At 37.0% G+C, this 18,325-nt stretch overlaps 1 protein-coding gene across 4 annotated transcripts in view; it reads left to right on the top strand.

Annotated features, from left to right (window-relative positions):
• Positions 1 to 18,325, top strand: part of GSK3B (glycogen synthase kinase 3 beta) — a 273,127-nt gene that overhangs the window by 131,033 nt on the left and 123,769 nt on the right. For all 4 annotated transcript variants that reach the window (NM_001354596.2, NM_001146156.2, XM_006713610.4 and 1 more), the window contains exon 3: positions 16,064 to 16,147. In NM_001354596.2, coding sequence (NP_001341525.1) covers positions 16,064 to 16,147 — 84 coding nt within the window. The remainder of the gene's footprint in view (positions 1 to 16,063; positions 16,148 to 18,325) is intronic.

Genomic DNA, 18,325 nt, shown 5'->3' with positions numbered 1-18,325 from the left:
CCTCCAACATTGTCATACTTGCTCAAAATTGCTTTGAATATTTGAGGTCTTTTGTGATTCTATGTAAATTTTAAGATTAAAATAAATTATGTAAAAAATGTCTTTAGGATTTTGATAGGGGTTGTGCTGAATCTATAGATGGCTTTGGATAATATGGACATTTTAACAATATTAATTTAATCCATGAACACAGGATGTTTTTCCATCTATTTGTATCTGCCTTAATTTCTTTCATTAGCGTTTTATAATTTTTAGTGTACAAGTCTTTCACCTCCTTGGTTAAGTTAATTCCTAAGTATTCTGTTTGTTGCTGTTGTAAATGTGATTGCTTTCTTAAACTTTTTTTTGGATAGTTTGTTGTTGGTGTATAACAGGGGCCCCCAACCCTCAGGCTGCGGACCAGTGTGGTGCATGGCCTGTTAGGAACCAGGCCACACAGCAACAGATGAGCACCAGGCCAGTGAGCATTACTGCCTGAGCTCCACCTCCTGTCAGATCAGCAGCAGCATTAGATTCCCATAGGAACATGAACCCTATTGTGACATCCGCATGCGAGGGATTTAGGTTGCACACTCCTTATGAGGTAGAACAGTTTCATCCTGAAACCTTCCCACCAGCCCCTCACCGGTCCGTGGAAAAATAGTCTTCTATGGAACTGGTCCCTTGTGCCAAAAAGGTTGAGGACTGCTGGTATATAGAATTGCAACCGATTTTTTAAATGTTGATTTTGTGTCCTGCAACTTGACTGAATTTATTCTAACAGTTTTGTGTGTGTGCATGGTCTAGGATTTTCTACCTATTTCATATGCAAACAAATAATTTTCTTTTTTTTTTCCAATTTAGATGCCTTTTATTTCTTTTTCTTGCCTAATTACTCTGGCTAGGACTTACAGTACTATGTTGAATAGATGGCAAGAGTGGGCATTCTTGCCTAATTGTTCATAATCTTAGAGGAAAAGTTTTCTGTTTTTCACTGTTGTGTATGATGTGTTAGTTATAGGCTTTTTTTGTTTTTTTGTTTTTGTTTTTTTTTTTTTTTGAGACAGAGTTTCACTCTTGTTGCCCAGGCTGGAGTGCAATGGCACAATCTTGGCTCATTGCAACCTCTGCCTCCCAGGTTCAAGCGATTCTCCTGCCTCAGCCTCCTGAGTAGCTGGGATTACAGGTATGCACCACCACGCTTGGCTAATTTTGTATTTTTACTAGAGACAGGGTTTCTCCATGTTGGTCAGGCTGGTCTCGAACTCCCGACCTCAGGTGATCCACCTGCCTCAGCCTCCCAAAGTGCTGAGATTACAGGGGTGGGCCACCATGCCCAGCAGTTATGGGCTTTTCATATACACATGCTCCATGACCTAAAATGAAGTTACATCCAGATAAACTCATTGTAAGTTAAAAATGTCATTAAGTCAAAAATACATTTAATGCACCTCATCTGTAGTACATTATAGCTTAGCCTAGCTTACCTTAAACGTGCTCAGAACACCTATGTTGGCCTGCAGGTGGACAAAGTCATGTATCGCATAGCCTATTCTATAATAAAGTGTTGAATATCTCATGTAATTTATTGAATACTATATGGGTACTCATCATTAATGTACACAGCTGAAAACACCATTGTAAGGTTGAAAATTTTTGAGGTGAACCATCAAGTCAGTGACTGATTTTATAACTTTTATTTTGTTGAGGTAAGTTCCTTCTATATCTGATTTGTTGATGGTTTTTGTAATGAAAGGGGGGTGAATTTTGTCAAGTGCTTTTTCCTTTTTTTTTTTTTTTTTTGTTTGTGAGACAGAGTCTTGCTCTGTCACCCAGGCTGAGTGCAGTGGCCCAATCTCAGCTCACTGCAACTTCTGCCTTTTGGGTTCAAGCGATTCTTGTGCCTCAGCCTCCCGAGTAACTGGGACTATAGGTGTGTGCCACCACCCCTGGCTAATTTTTGTATTTTTAGTAGAGACGGAGTTTCACCATGTTGGCCAGGCTGGTCTTGAACTCCTGGCCTTAAGTGATCTGCCTGCCTTGGCCTCCCAAAGTGCTGGGATTACAGGTGTGAGCCACTGCGCCCAGCCTGTTTTTCTCATCACTTTTAATGCACCAACAATGAGGAAGAGATTAGTGCTGTTGTTATATATACACAATCTTTGGTGAGCCAGAGCTTGGCTGAAGAATGGTATTTTCAAGCCTGGCCCTGTGAGGATAGGGCTCTTGATCAGTTTTTAACCTTTGGAGAGATTAGCTGGAGAGGGATTAGAGAGAGTGGTACATCACAGCTCTATTCTCAGGAATGGGAAGTAGTCCTTTACATGTGTTTTGAGGGGTGGGGGCTCGTGACTTGGGAATAACTTGTTTTTCTAACTCCTTTATTTTTCTGACTGGTAGTGACACTTCTTACAATGAAATGTATTGATATGTATTAACGTATCTCTTTTTGTCAGTAGGGGTGTTATTTTATATCATCAGTGTAAATACATGTTCGACCATAGATTATTGAGTTGATATGGGCTGGGCATTGTTCTAGATTCTAGACATACAACAATAAACAAAACAGACAACAAAACTATGTCATTTTAAAGCTTATATTATAGTGGGGAGGGATGGACAATAATGAATAAATATGCAAAATAGATATAATGTATTAGATGATTGTTACTCTGGAGAAGATTGAGGTAATGAAGGGGTTTAAGGATTGCTGAGAGTAAATGTTGAGGTTGCAATTTTAAATAGTGTGAGAAAGTATGTAGCATTTGAGGAAATACCTGAAGTATGTGAGGGGGGCTGATATTCAGATATTTATGCAGTTGTAAAGCAAAGTAGAGAAATCCCACATGGGTAAAACTCTTTACCCACTTTCCCTCAATGATTACATCTTGCAAAATTATAGTACATTATCACAATTAGGATATTGGCATTGATAGAATCCACTGATTTTATTCAAATTTCCTCAGATTCTCTTGTACTACTTTGGAGAGCTGTATGTGTATATATTTCTTTCTATTTTTTTTTTATTACATGCATAGGTTTGTGTATAGACCATGATAGTAAAGATACAGAACATCACAAGTATCCTCTTACTGCCCTTTTATAACCACATTGACTTCTCTCCCTGCCATTACTCCACCCCTAACACCCAGTGTAACCCCTGGCAGTAACCACTAATCTGTTTACCATTTCCAAACTTTTTTTCTTTCAAGAAGGTTATAAAAATGGAATCATATCCAGTATGTAACCTTTTGGGCTAGCTTTTTTTTTTTTTTTTTTTTTTTGTCTCAGCATAGGTTTCTGGGGATGCAACCATGTTGTTGCATGGATCAATAATTGTTTCTTTTTTATTGCTGAGTAGTATTCCATGGTATGGATATACTACAGTTTGTTTATTCACCCAGTGAGTGACATCTGGGGGCTATTCTAAATAAAGCTGCTTTGAACATTCATATGCCGGTTTTAATGTGAACGTAAATTTCTATTTCTATAAAACATATGCCCAAGAGTGCAATTGCTGGGATCCTGGGTAAGTTTTGAAGGTTGAGCCAACAGGATTTCTTGACAGATTAATGTGAGGTCAAGCCGGGCGCAGTGTCTCATGCCTGTAATCCTAGCACTTTGGGAACAATAATTGTTATTGCTAATAATAGCACTTAGGGAGGCTGAGGTTGGAGGATCATTTGAGGTCACGAGTTCAAGACCAGCCTGGCCAACATGGTGAAACCCCATCTCTACTAAAAATACAAAAAAATTAGCTGGGCATGGTGGTACACGCGTGTAATCCCAGCTACTCAGGAGGCTGAGGCAGGAGAATCACTTGAACCTGGGAGACAGAGGTTGCAGTGAGCTGAGATCATGCCACTGCACTCCAGCCTGGGCGACAGAGTGAGGCTCTGTCTTTAAAAAAAAAAAAAAAAAAAAAAAAAGTCAGAGAGAAAGAGGAATCAAGACTTCATGGTTTTTGACCTGGGCAACTAGAGGAGTGGAATTGCCAACAGCTGACATGGGGAAAGCTATGGGTAGAGCATGTTTAAAGGAGATGAAAAATTTTACTTATAACATGTCAAGTTGATGTATATTAGACACAGAAAAATTGTCACATAAGCAGTTGGTTAAAAGATTTTGGAATTCACAGGGGTGGTCTGGTCTAGAGATATACAATTGGGAGTCTGATCAGCCTTTAAAGCCCTGAGACTGGAAGAGGTGATAGAGGCAGCTGAAAGAGGTGAGAGACTAAGTTCTGGCTACTTCAGTGTTTAAAAAATAGGGAGATTATGAAGAACTAGCAAAGAAAACTGCAAATTTGGCCAATGAGGAAGGATTAAAAAGCAAGATAATTTAGTGTCCTGGAAAGTAATTGGAGAAAACATTTCAAGGAGAGAGGGAGTCAACCAATCATTTTTGTGTAAACCTTAGTTGTAGCACAAAGGCATATTCTGCACAGTAACCAGAGGTTTTAGTTGTGTTGTATTCCAGGGGATATATAGGCTGATGCCCCCGTTTCTAGTTTCTCCTGAGTAAGGAGAATTTTCGAGTTTTAGTTTCTGTATTCAGAAAGCAAATGGTCTAAGAGACAAGTTGAATTCTACCTGTTAAGCTCCAACTTAACACTCTTTTCATGAAAAAAGTGAACACTCTTTTCATGAAAAAAGTGAACACTCTTTTCATTAAAAATCTTTTTAATCTTCCTAGTTGGAAGTATTCTTTCTGTTTTTAGAATTCTCCATCCTTTTTTTTTCTTCCAGGGTCGAGGGAGAGACAGGGTCTCACCCTGTTACCCAGGCTGAAGTGCAATGTCACAATCATAGCGCACTGTAGCCTTGACCTCCCTGGTTAAAGTGATCCTCCCACCTCAGTCTCCCGAGTAGCTAGGAACACAGGTGTGCATCACCATGCCCAGCTAATTTATTTTTATTTTTTGTAGAGATGCAATCTCCCTGTGTTGTCAGGCTGGTCTTGAACTCCTGGGCCCAAGTGATCCTCCTTCCTTAGCCTCCCAAAGTGCTGGGATTACAGGCATGAGCTGCCACACCCACCCACCCACCCACCCCTTTTTCGATAACTCTAGTGGCACTTAACATTTTCTGTTGTATGGCATCTGTGTTAGTCCATTCTCACACTGCTGTAAGGATACTCCTTGAGACGGGGTAATTTATAAAGGAAAGATGTTTAATTGGTTCACAGTTCCACATGGCTGGGGAGGCCTTAGGAAATTTACAGTCATGGCGAAAGGGAAAGAAAGCAGGCACCTTCTTCACAAGGTGGTGGGAGAGAGAGTCATCGTGCAGGAGAAACTAACATTTATAAAACCATCAAATCTTGTGAGAATTCACTCACTATTAGGAGAGCAGCATGGGGGAAACCATCTCTCCCAGTCACTTCCCTCCCTTGACACTTGGGGGGGTATAGGTCCTCGCCTCAGCACGTGGGGATTACAGTTCGAGATGAGATTTGGGTGGGGACGTGGAGCCAAACCGTATCAGTATCTTTATTTGCCTACTTGTATACTTGTCTTATTTTGAATTATAAGCTCTTTCAATACTGAAGTCCTCCTTTATTGTCATTGTATTTTCAAGCACATAGTAATAAATGGAATTGAGTTACATTTCATTGTGATAGAGCATGGAATCTGACACACCTGGTTTAAATCTTGCCTGTGCTGTTTGCTACCAAATTTCTTAACCTCTCTATGCCTACACCCGCTCTTAAGTGGGGATCATAATGTTGCTTACTTGATAGGTTTGTGGAGAGGATTGAAGTTGTGAAGATACAGCTCTTAACAGAGTGGTCAGCTCATAGTAAATTCTTTGTGTTCTGTAGTTGTTGGTGCCATCATTGCTATTGTTAATAATAATATGCTGTTGTGTTATTGGCTCTCAAAGATACAGGGTTAAAGGAATACACACTTAAGCTGGCATTGACTTACATGCTAGGGCTTCCGAAAACTAAGTATTCAAGAACCTGGTTTATATCTACTTTAGTAGTCATATTACCTGTCAGGATATAAAAGTCCGTTATTCCCTTAGTTCATGCAGGCATCCTTTGTGTTGTTTCTCTTCCATTTCCCTTTCTGTGCTGGGCAAGTAGTCTGTGTAACTGATTGGGAAAAGTAGCATACATGAGTCCTTTTTATTGTTTCTATAAAATTGGGGTTTTGTTACAGAACATGTTAAGCCTACCTAGGCAGTATGTTATTTTATAACTATAATTTAAAATTTTAACTTACACACTAATTATAGTTATGTAAAAGGAAAATATCATAAATTTCCAGAACATTAGTCCCTAAATCAATATAGAAAGTCCACTATGTATATGTACTAAGTACAAAATTGAGATTGACGGTAAGGAACTTTCCTTTCTTGCCTTGTGGTGCAGGGATTGGGAAACAGTGAACCAGCCACCTGTGTTTGTAAATAAAATTTATAACAAACAGCCACGTTAATTCTTACACATATTGTTGTAAACAGACAGCCACATTCATTCTTATAAATATTGTCTGACTGCTTTTCCCCTACAACTACAGAGTTGAATAAACCTGAAGAATTTAGTGTCTGGTCCTTTATAGAAAATGTTTATTTGCCCCTGTTCAAGGGTATTATTTTTGTGGCTCATCTCTTAGAGCTTTTCTCACTCTGTCTCTTGTATTGATTCCTTTTCTTCTGTCTGCTTAAATGATGATATTCTCCAGAATCTTTTCTTGAATAGCTCACCTTTCCTAAGGCTTACGTTACTCCACTGTCTAGGTTCTACTTTCTGACTAATTTCTTTTTAGTGTCCTTTATAGACTTTCTGCTGCTGGGGAGTTTGATCACTTTTTTTCTTATTTTATAGGTTGAGCATCTTGAAACCAAAAATCCAAAATTTGAAATGCTCTGAAATTTAAAACTTTTTGAGCACCAACACGATGTTTAAAGGGAGTGCTCATTGGAGCATTTTGAATTTTGGATTTTCAGATTAGGAAGGCTTAATGGGTAAAGATAATACTAAATCCAAAAAAAGTCTGAAGTCTGAAACACTTTTGGTCCCAAGCATTTCGGATAATGTGTATTCAACCTGTATAGGCAATAATATATACTCTCCTATGGCTTCTGAACCACCCACACCTCCTTGAGGATAAGAAGAACATACGGTATTGCTTTCTGGACCTTTTCATCTGCTTCAGTGTCCCTGAGTCGTTTCAAAATGAATGTGTCCCAAATTGAACTCACTTCTTTCTGCTTCCAAAACAGCTTCCCCGGCCACTGAACTGTACCGTGTTCATAGTCATGTGAGTGAGAAGCCTGATAGCTGTCACCTCCCTCCTTCTATTTACTAATTCAATAGCAGTAGGTGATCACTACTATTGTAGACCCATTTTCTTCCATTTGTTTTTCTCTGTTTTTACTAGTGTAGATCCTAGTTTTATCCGCCGCCACCTTTGTAACATTTTTTTTCATAGCAATCTTCCTAAAACAAATATCTTGTGTAAAACACATTAGTGGGCTGGGTGAGGTGGCTCACACCTGTAATCCCAGCACTTTGGGAGGCCGAGGTAGGCGGATCACCAGAGGTCAGGAGTTCGAGACCAGCCTGGCCAACATGGTGAAAACCCATCTCTACTAAAAATACAAAATTAGGCAGGCGTGGTGGCAGGCGCCTGTAATCTCAGCTATTCAGGAGGGTGAGGCAGGAGAATCGCTTGAACCCAGGAGGCGGAGGTTGCAGTGATTTGAGATCATGCCACTGCACTCCAGCTTGGGTGACAGAGTGAGACTCTGTCTCAAAACAACAACAACAACAACAAAAACAAAAGCAAAAAAAACCAATCAGTGGTTCTTTATGCCTTGTAATATTTAGCGCTGTATTTAAGACTTTCCACCTGACCCCATTCCAGAATTTTACAAATTAATAAGCAAATTTTTCTTAGCTCCTGTCCCCAAGTATCTATAGCACTTTTTAAATGAGCTCAACTTAATCACATTGTGTTATAGTTGTTGGTTTGCTCACCCATTAGACTGTAAAACATTTAAAGATTGTAAATTTTTGTATTCTCAGGGCCCCCAGTTCTGACACATAGTTGGCTTCAAAATATGATCATTACATGTTCTATGCATGGAACAAAATATCCATGTACCTCATAAATAGTAAAATATCATGTATCAATTAAAAATATACTTGTGCAAATGGGGTTAAGTTTTTTTGTGTTTTTTTTTTTTTTTAGCTGTTGGTTCTTTTAGGGCAACTGAATTTACTGTGAAATCAAAGATTTAGAGATGAATTAAATGCTTTTTGAGTCTTATGATGACTAAGGATGGATAATGCAACTTTGGATAACCTTCATTTTTTTTGCAGAAGGTGTACTTTGGGAAAATATTCTTTAAGCAAAACATTGGAAATGAGTCCTATTTTACTAGATTTTATGAAAGTAGAACTTTCTATCATGGGGGAAGATCTCCCAACAGAACAAACTTTGATGAAGAAGAAAAGATGATAACCACATGCTGCCCATCATACACCCACAATATTAAGCTTGCTGGTTGTTTCTTCACCTAAAAGTTTACTTTTCCTTTATTAAACTTTATGTAATGGTACAAAAATATAGCCTTCTGGAACTTTTTCAGTCTGTGCTTTTAGCTTCCAGAAGTTTTTCTTTCTCTTTTCTCTCTCTTTTTAAAGCATGAGATGTCAGATATTGTAAAAATGAATAAAAGCCTCCATGTCTACTCTAGAGGTGGATATATGTTAATGAGTATTGGTTAAAACAAAAGAATCAGTTTTCCTTTAAATGTGCCATTTAGACTTTTTAAATACTGATATTATGCTTATTCCATCTTGGGTAGTCATTTTGTTTTATAAATAAGTTGAGAATGATTAGTAAGAATCTTGTTTACATGTATTCTTTTGTCTTTTCTATTTGAAAAAAGATGCCTTTACAGGCAAGTCAGTTACCACAATTTAAAATTTCTAACTATGACCTTAAAGTAAGACATGCATTTTAACATTGCAGCCCGATGCACAGAAAAATAATTAACAAGTTTCATGAAAAAAACCCTTACTGTATGTAAAGTGATATTCTATTCCATTCTATTCTATTCTTATTCCTCCATTCTATTTTATGCTATGCTGTTCTGTTCTGTTCTGTTTCTTTTCTATTCTATTCTATTCTATTCTATTCTATTCTATTCTATTCTATTCTATTCTATTCTATTCTATTCTATTCTATTCTATTCTCCTTCCACACTTCCTTCTCAGTGCTGATTGGCTGGTGCCCATAGTTTGGAAAATAACACCAAGTTGGAAAGTAGAAGAAATTACAGAAGCTGGGAAATTACTTTGTTAAAGACAAAGTAACCTGCTCTGAGAACTCTGAGAGTAATACAGAAAGATGTTCTTAAAACACTTATAGTATGTTGGTTGGGCAGGGTTTGTGAGTGTGTGTCTGTGTCTGTGTCTGTATAGTGACTATAATATCTGATTTCTATAAGCTACTTTTGAAAAGTATCCTTTTATATAACATCAATGAACTGTAGTTGTAAAAATAAAACCAAGAGAACATATAGTAAATTTCAAAATATTTGTAAGTGCTGCAGGGAGAGATTGGTGATGGCCTCGTTAAAAAGGTAAAAGTTAAATAGGAACTTAAAGGATGGGCTTAGAATGTGTGTAGGTTGGAGAGAGAGTCAGCACATTCCACTGATGGTAATGTGATGGTAAATGTAATAGAATTGGGAATATAATTGGTTTAGAATTGGGAATGAAACAATATATTCAGGAAGAGTGAGAAGTAGCATCTAGCGATAATATAGAATTCACATTGGTCATGAGTGGAAGACTAAACTGAAAAGGAGAGGCCAGATTATAAAGTGATTTAGACTTTATCTTGTAGGCAGTGGGTCTCTCTCTCTGTCTGTCTCTGCCAACATGTGCCGCTCCATCTCTCTTGGTTACTGTTTGTATTGTATATCATTTTTCATCCTTTTACTTTTAAGTTGTTTGTGTCTTTGAATCTAAAGTATTAATTCCTAGGGATAGATTATAGTTGCAGCTTTCTTTTTATATAGCCTTTTGATTGTATGCTTAGCTCTTTCACATTTTATGTAGTGTGTGATGTAGCTGGAATTACATGTGCCATTTTGCTCTTTGTTTTCTATATCTCTCATGTTATATTTGTTCTTCCGTTCTTCGTTACTATCTTCTGTGTTGAACAAATATTTTTTAGTGTATCGTCTTAAGTCTGCTGTTGATTTTTAACATTAAATTATTTTCTTAGTGGTTGCTCTAAGAATTACAGTTTACATTCCAATTTATCACCATTAACTTTAGGTTAATACTGACCTAATTTCTGTAAAATATAGCACTTGTGCTCCATTATAACTGTTTTCTCCCCCTCCTTTTTGCTGTTATTGCCTTATATATTACATTTATTTACGTTATAAACCCAACTGTTATCATATTCTGTCTTTTAATGAAATTAAGAGGAAATAAAAATATATCTATAGTCTTTTATATTTTCTCATTTATATTTAATATATCTGGTGGTCCTCACTTGTTTTTGTGAATTCCAGTTAACATGTGGTGTCATTTTCTTTTAGCTCAAGGTACTTGTTCAAGTATTTCAACTTATTCTCCATCTTTTTTTTTAAGTGTGAGGATGTCTTTATTCTTCCTTTCTTGCTTGAAGAATACTTTTGCAGTAAATAGAATTCTTAGTTGATAGTTTTTTTTAATTTTTTGTTACTGCCTTCTAGCTTCCGTTTTTTCCTGATGATTAGTCGGCTATTAATTGTATTGTTTTTCCCATGTATGTGATGAGTGATTTCTCTGTTGCTCCTCTCATGTTTTTTTTTTTGGTGGCTTCAAACTGTTTAAATGTGAAATGCTTAGATGTTGATCCCTGTGTTTATCATATTTTGGGTTCATTGATAATTTTTTTTTCTTTTCTTTCTTTTCTTTTTTTTTTTTTTTTGAGACAGAGTCTCTCTCTGTCAGCCAGGCTGGAGTGCAGTGGCACGATCTCGACTCACTGCAACCTCTGCCTCCCGGGCTCAAGCAATTCTCCTGCCTCCGCCTCCCGAGTCGCTGGGATTACAGGGGTGTGCCACCACACCCGGCTAATTTTTGTATTTTTAGTAGAGATGGGGTTTCACCATGTTGGCCAGGCTGGTCTTGAACTCCTGACCTCAGGTAATCCACCCGCCTCGGCCTCCCAAAGTGCTGGGATTATAGACGTGAGCCACCGTGCCTGGCCGGTTCATTGATCTTCATGGTTTGATAGATTAGTGGTTTTCAGCAAATTTGGGGAATGTTCAGCCATTATTTCTTCTAACATTTTTTTCTCCTTTCTCTTTTTCCAGTTCTGCTTTTACACATATGTTGATATGTGTGATGTTATCCCAGAAGTATCTGAGGCTCTGTTTATTTTTCTGCAGTATTTTTTCCCTCTTTGTTCTTTCTTTTGGACAATCTCTATTTCTTCAAGTTCACTGGGTTTTTTTTTTTAATGCCATCTCAAATATTTTCTTGAGGACATAGTGAATCTCATTTTTGTTATAATGTGTTTCAACTCTAGTTAATTCTCATGTTTTAAAAGTTAGCATTTCTTTATTGAGATTCTCTGTGTTGTGCAATTGTCATTTTTCTTTAATTTTTAAAATATGGTTTCCCTTAATTTTTTGAACTTAATTATAAATTATAATAGCTGCTTTGTATTCTTTATCTGCTAAATCCAACAGCTTTGCCCACCAGGAGTTAATTTCTGTTGACTGCTTTTTTTTAACCTGATTATAGGTCAACTTTTCCTGTAGTTTGCATGTCTCACAATGTTTTTTTCCAATTGAACATATTATATAATATATTGTAGCAATGCTAGGTTCTGAATTTTTTTGAGACAGATTCTGGCTTGTTTTCTAGGCTGGAGTGCACTGGCATGATCTCAGCTTACTGCAGGCTCCACCTCCTGGGTTCAAGCAGTTCTCCTGCTTCAGCCTCCCGAGTATCTGGGATTACAGGCATGCGCCACCAAGCCCGGCTAATTTTATATTTTTAGTAGAGACTGGGTTTCACCATGCTGGTCAGGCTGGTCTTGAACTCCTGTCCTCAGGTGATCTGCCCGCCTGAACCTCCCAAAGTGGTGGGATTACAGGCGTGAGCCACTGCACCCTGCCACTTTCAGCATTTTTTGATGATCCTATATGTGAGTTGGGAAGTATATTCAAAATTCTGACATTTTTCACATTAGCCTTGGCTTTTACTTTCTCCGGGGCTCTGTTGAGCCTCCCTCCACCCCCATATGTGCACTGCCTGTCAGACAGTTATGTGTGGGGAGCTAATTTAGGCCCTCTGTGCCTCTCTCATTTCCAGTATCCCCTTATTACATTTCTGGGTGTCCTTCTAGTCTGTCATTTTCTCTAACTGGGACTACATTCTCATTTTAGCAGAGCTATGGGCCTTTCCCCTTTCTGTCCTTCCAAATTTGCTATTTTTATTGCCAGTGCTACTAGGCATGGGTTTTTGCTCTCTATCCTAAATGACCATAGCCCTCTGGTTTTCACTGCCAACACTGCCCTGGGAAAACTGCCTCACTGATTGAGTTGGGTGGTTGTAGGGGGATGGTAGCATCGCTTGGCAAAGAAGGCCATTTTCCTCTACTGTTCTGTCATATCTAGCAGCTTTTCAAGAATAAATGCTTCTCAATTTGTTGTTGCCTTTGCTCAGTTTCCAGAGCCCTGAAGTGATTGTTTTCTTCAGTGTACTTCAGTTTTATAAGTATTGTGGGGGAGTAGATTTGCTACTGTCATCATTCTGCTGTACCTGGAAATCTCTCCTCAAACTTTCTAACCCCTTAGGACCCTGTGTCCCCTACACCCACTTTAATTCAATCTAGTCAGTTTTTTTCACCATTGTTCTACTGAAACCATTCTTGTAAGAGTCACCAACATCTTGCATTTTCATAGCAATTGTTATTTTCCTGTGTTTATCTAGCCATTATCCTTCTGCCTATTTCTTGAATATGCCAAGCCCACCACTGAGTTTTTACATTTGCAGTTCCCTGTAACCATCTTCCCTAGATCTTCACATGGTTCTTACCTTTATATCATCCAGGTTGATGTTCATATCTTAACCTCCTTCATAAGGTTTTCTCCGGCTTCCTTATGTAAAATGTAGATATTTCTAAAGTAACGCAATAGGAACAGAAGAGTAAACATAGATGAATATTTAGGTCCTTATACTTGCTTCACTTAATGCATCTTTCAGTAGCTTTTGACATAAATCATCACTCAGTTTTTCTAAAAATTTTTTAACGTGGCTTCTAAGATAACATTCTTTCTTATTTTTCTTCCTGCTTTATTAACTACTCCACTCTGTCCTCTATTTTTCATTTCATGAATTTTTTTTCTGTATGAACTTCTTCCGTAGGTGATATCATTAGGTACCCTTGCTTTAAATCTTCTTTATCTAGATGACTCCCAAATGCATTTTTCCAGCCTTAGCTTCTACCCTGACCTCACATGAATGTCGTATAAGGATTTCAAACTTAATAGATAAAAACTTAATAGGTTAAAAAAAACTTAATAGATAAAAAACGAAACTCTTGATCTACTTTTTCCTTCAAATTTATTCTCTTAAATTTTTAGAATGCTTTTTTTTTTTTTTTTTTTTTGAGACGGAGTCTTGCTCTGTTGCCCAGTGCTGTGGCGTGATCACAGCTCACTGCAGCCTCCACCTCCTGGGTTCAAATGATAGAATGCTTTTCTGAAAGGTAAATCTGATTGTATCACTTTCCTGGTCAAAACCTCCATTAGCTTCCCTTTACATTTAGAGTGAAATTCAGTTTCTTACCATGTTTGATGAAGGTTTATATGATCTTGTGCCTGCCTGCCTCTCTGAACATAACTCCTACCTCTCTGAACTTAACTCCCACCTTTCTCTCCTTACTCAGAATGATGCAGCCGTATTATCTTTCTGGCTATTTCTTGAATATGCCAAGCCCACCACTACTAGGTTTTTACATTTGCAGTTCCCTATAACCACAGTGCTGTTTCCTCAGATCTTCACATGGTTCTTACCTTCATATCATTCAGGCTTGTGTTCATATCTTACCTGTTTCATGAGATTTTCTCTAACTTCCTTATCTAAAATAAGACATTTTTAAAGCAACACAATAGGAAGAGTAAATGTAGATGAATACTTAGATCCTTGTTCTTGCTTCACTTATGCATTCTTTTTGATCAAAAGTATTATGCACAATCTTATCAACTTCTGTTATCTGGGAATTTAATACTCTGTTACCTTGGTTAGTGAGTCTGGAAAAATAAATAACTTATTTTAACATAGTTGGCTATGTTAAAAAAATCAGTCTTAATAGCTGTATGTTATGAGAGGAATGAGTATTGATTTACTAGCAGTTCTCCCTCAAAGCCAGCTACCTAAATGTGAATTAACAAAGTATAGAGGCTGGGCGCTGTGGCTCACGCCTGTAATCCCAGCACTTTGGGAGGCTGAGGCAGGTGGATTGTCTGAGGTCAGGAGTTCGAGACCAGCCTGGCCAACATGGTGAAACCCTGTCTCTACTAAAAATATTAAAATAATTAGCTGGGCGTGGTGGCAGGCGCCTGTAATCCCAGCTACTCAGGAGGCTGAGGCAGGAGAATCGCTTGAACCCAGGAGGCAAAGGTTGCAATGAGCCGAGATCACGCCATTGCACTCCAGCCTGGGTAACAAGAGTGAAACTCTGTCTCAAACAAACAAACAAAAAAACAAAGTATAGAAATACTTCCAGAAATAGCTTCAATTTGGAATGGAAATGGACACAATTTTGAAGTTGGTAGTTTTCTATGTTCCTCTCTCTGTACTAGTCAACACTTAAGAGTCTTTTGTTAGTTATTTGTTAAAGTAATTGTACTGTACTTTCTGACTTATTTTCTGTTTACTTTCGGACTTTCTGTTTCCGTTACTTTTACTAACAAGTAATGGAATGAAAGATTGATATCTTATAAAAGGATTTTAAATACCATTGTACACATAAGCCCAACTCCGAAAGGTCAGTTTAAAGGAACATTCACTTCTGCTCTCATCTTCTAAGAACTAGAAGCCATCCTACCCTTCCTATTCTAGGATAGCTATCTTTATCTGGTTCTTTGGTCCCAACGCATCCTCATCCCCATCCTTCTTGGCCTCTTTTCTGACCGTAACACCATTTCCTTTCCAGATTCTCAGGTGTATACTTTATGTTTTCTAGCTCTTCTAAATCATTACTTTAACTAAAGCTTTATTTTTTTGGCTAGAAAGCTGGCATTTTGGTATTGCTTCTGTGTGTTATGTAATTTGTCCTTCATTAAGTGGATTTCTGTCAGTCAAGTATATTGTTGGACTATAATAACCTCTTTGTTAATGTACAGTCTAGTCAGATTTACTGCTGCGAAGTCTGTGGTATTAAGAAATCATCATATTATTTAGTGATTTCTTTTTTTGAAGAATGAACATAACTTTGAAACTTCCCAAAGGGAAAATAGTTTTGTGTGGTCTACAAATCTATCAGGACTGTATAATTTCTTTTCTTTTCTTTCTTTTTTTTTTTTTTTGAGATGGAGTTTCGCTCTGCATTCACTTTTTCTAAAACTTAGCAACTGAGCTCTTTTCATGGAGTTGATGCTCAGTTTTTTTTTTCACTGCATCTTAGAAAACAATAAGGTCAAGCTATTTGTGGTAAAGTAACAGTTCTTACAGTTTTGAATTCATGGGAGACTGTTGTTTTTGTGAAATATACAAATGAATTGCTAGAAAGATGAAATTTTTAAAAATATAAAATATGGATCCTAATTCTTATTACCATATTCTTAGATATCAATTTATTCTCTCATTGTTATAAAAGCTCTAAACACTCTCAATTTCTGTATTTGTCTTATTGGAGAGCAGTAACAGATAGTTCATGGACTAGTAACAAATATTTTGCAGATCAGAACCAGTCTACAGATCACACTTTTTAGTAGCATATCTATAGCTTGCTAATTTTAGTGCTTAATGTTATTTCAGAAGCATCTTGTTCAATATGATGAATAGCTGTTATCCTTTAAAAATATATTTTTATGTGTTTCCTTTTCAGAATCGAGAGCTCCAGATCATGAGAAAGCTAGATCACTGTAACATAGTCCGATTGCGTTATTTCTTCTACTCCAGTGGTGAGAAGGTAGGTTTGACACAAAGTGTGTACTGAATATTGTGATAAATTTGTTATTTTTCTAGAAATTAATCTCCCCACCGCTCATAGACAGTTTTGCTAATGGAATGGAAAAATTCCGAAACACTTGCCCCAGCAATACTCAGCCCAAGGTATGGTCATTGATATCATTAGTTATATCAGGAAAGCATTAGTAAGATAAAGGGAATGCACTTTTAAGAATTTTCTTCTTTGTTAAAGTATGTCTTCACTTCTCAAGAAAATCTATATACTTTTTTTTTTTTTAAAGACATCTATGTTCCTTATGTGCTTACGCAGCCCTCTGATAGTTTACCTATTTATTGCAGGGAGGAAAATTAAGTCATTTTGTTAAGTGAAGTTGATAAGAGGTAAAGAGGTAGCAAGAGGACTGATAGGAACAGAATGAGAGTTAAACATTTGGAAGCAAGTTGAGCCATCCTTGGCCAGTGAAAAAGTTGGAAAAGATGTAATATTGCAGAGCTTACTTTAAGTGATCCCTATGTCTGACCACATTGAATTCTGCGAAACCAAAGGATAAAGAAGACTTTGTGCTGTTAATAACTCCTTCCAACCTCTTTCTCTTCAGAAGACACAATAATCAATGAAGTTGGAGCAAAGAAAATAAATTTCTTCTGTTTTTCCTTGGTGTCTTTATTTTTCTGCCTGTCGCTATCCTTTCTTTCTTTTCACTGGTTTGGAGTGCATACGCAGGGCAGGTAACAAATCACTTGATTCTTTTGGCTAAATAAATATGACTTTGGATAACTTCAGTTGGTATTTTGGACTTCAGATTTCATGCATATAATATCTAATGTTCTTAGATCCATAATACTTGATTCCTAGCTCAGTGTTCTTGTTACTTTATGTAACTGTTTTTTAGTATAACAGTTTTTAGCCATTTTCTATTAAGCTTTTTTTTTACAGCAAATATTGCCTGACAACATTTTCTATTAAACTTTATTTAGATTATTTCCATAGAAAGTCTTTTTACATTACAGTGCCTATTATATAGGAAGATGTCAATGTATTAAGCCCGAATTTTGATATAAATACCTACAGTCATATAATTGTTGTGTATATACACATGTATTACACAATACGTTTTAACAACTATAGTTAGCAAATTGGCCCTTTATTGACACTTGCTTTTCAGTTGCTTTTTTTTTTTTTCAGTTTAAATGATACCTCTGGTTTACTAGGGATTGTGAACCCTCATAAGTATTAGAGCTTTTTAAAACCTACCAAATGGCCTGTTATTATCTTTATTCTGATCTGTTTTGGCATGTGTTTGCTTTTTCCTGTCTCTTCCTAAGTAAAATTGTACAGCCTCTGTTAGGTTCACAAGTACACTCTTTGTAATGAAATTTTGCATCTTCATTTTGTTGTTGTTGTTGTTGTTACTAGATACATCATGATACTCCTGGGTAAGAATTATTTGTTCCATAAACTGCTGGATTACAATAGATTCATTTGAAAAAAGGCCTCCTCCCAGAGTTCTTAAACATTTTCTCTTTGATTACTTACTTTAATGTATATAGCATTCCTTATATGCTAGGCACTGTTTTAATGCTTTATAAATATTAACTCATTTAACTCTTAAGAAGTTGAAGAGCAGAAAAGAAAGACTATCAAACCGTTTGAATGCAAGGCATCTGATGGCTTACTTGTCTGGTTTTGGTTTGGTGGAAAGCTCCTGTCATAGTCAGCTCTTGCCCTGACTTAATCCTGCATTGGGGGTGACAACTGACTGCCTCTTATCTGTATGCCCCAGAGGATAATTTCCTCTCTGCTGCTGTTCTCAGTTTCTTACTTATCTTAAAGGTTCTTACAGATAAAGAGCAATTAGAAGTCATTAACAGAGATTAACCTCTATTATAAAAAGTAATAGACCTAATATTTTCTTTATGTCAGAACTTTCTCTTGAGCTTTGTAAATTTTCCAAAAATTTTTTTAAAAAAAGATACCTCCTAATTTTGGGATAGCTTCATTAAAAACAAAAAGGAAGAAGAGAAGAAAAGTTGTGATATATTGCTGAAAATAATGGTCCTTCTTTGTCAATAAAGGAAATTTTTCTAAGATGTGCAGAAATACATAGGTTCAAGACTTCCCGTAATCTCCCAGCCACCAAAGAGAGAATTTCTTTTTGCCCCATTCATGATCTCCACT

The sequence above is a fragment of the Homo sapiens genome, chromosome 3, assembly GCF_000001405.40.
Source record: "Homo sapiens chromosome 3, GRCh38.p14 Primary Assembly".
Classification (NCBI taxonomy): Eukaryota; Metazoa; Chordata; class Mammalia; order Primates; family Hominidae; genus Homo; species Homo sapiens.
The sequence above is the reverse complement of the archived record's forward strand: the minus strand, read 5'-3'. Positions and strand labels throughout refer to the sequence as shown.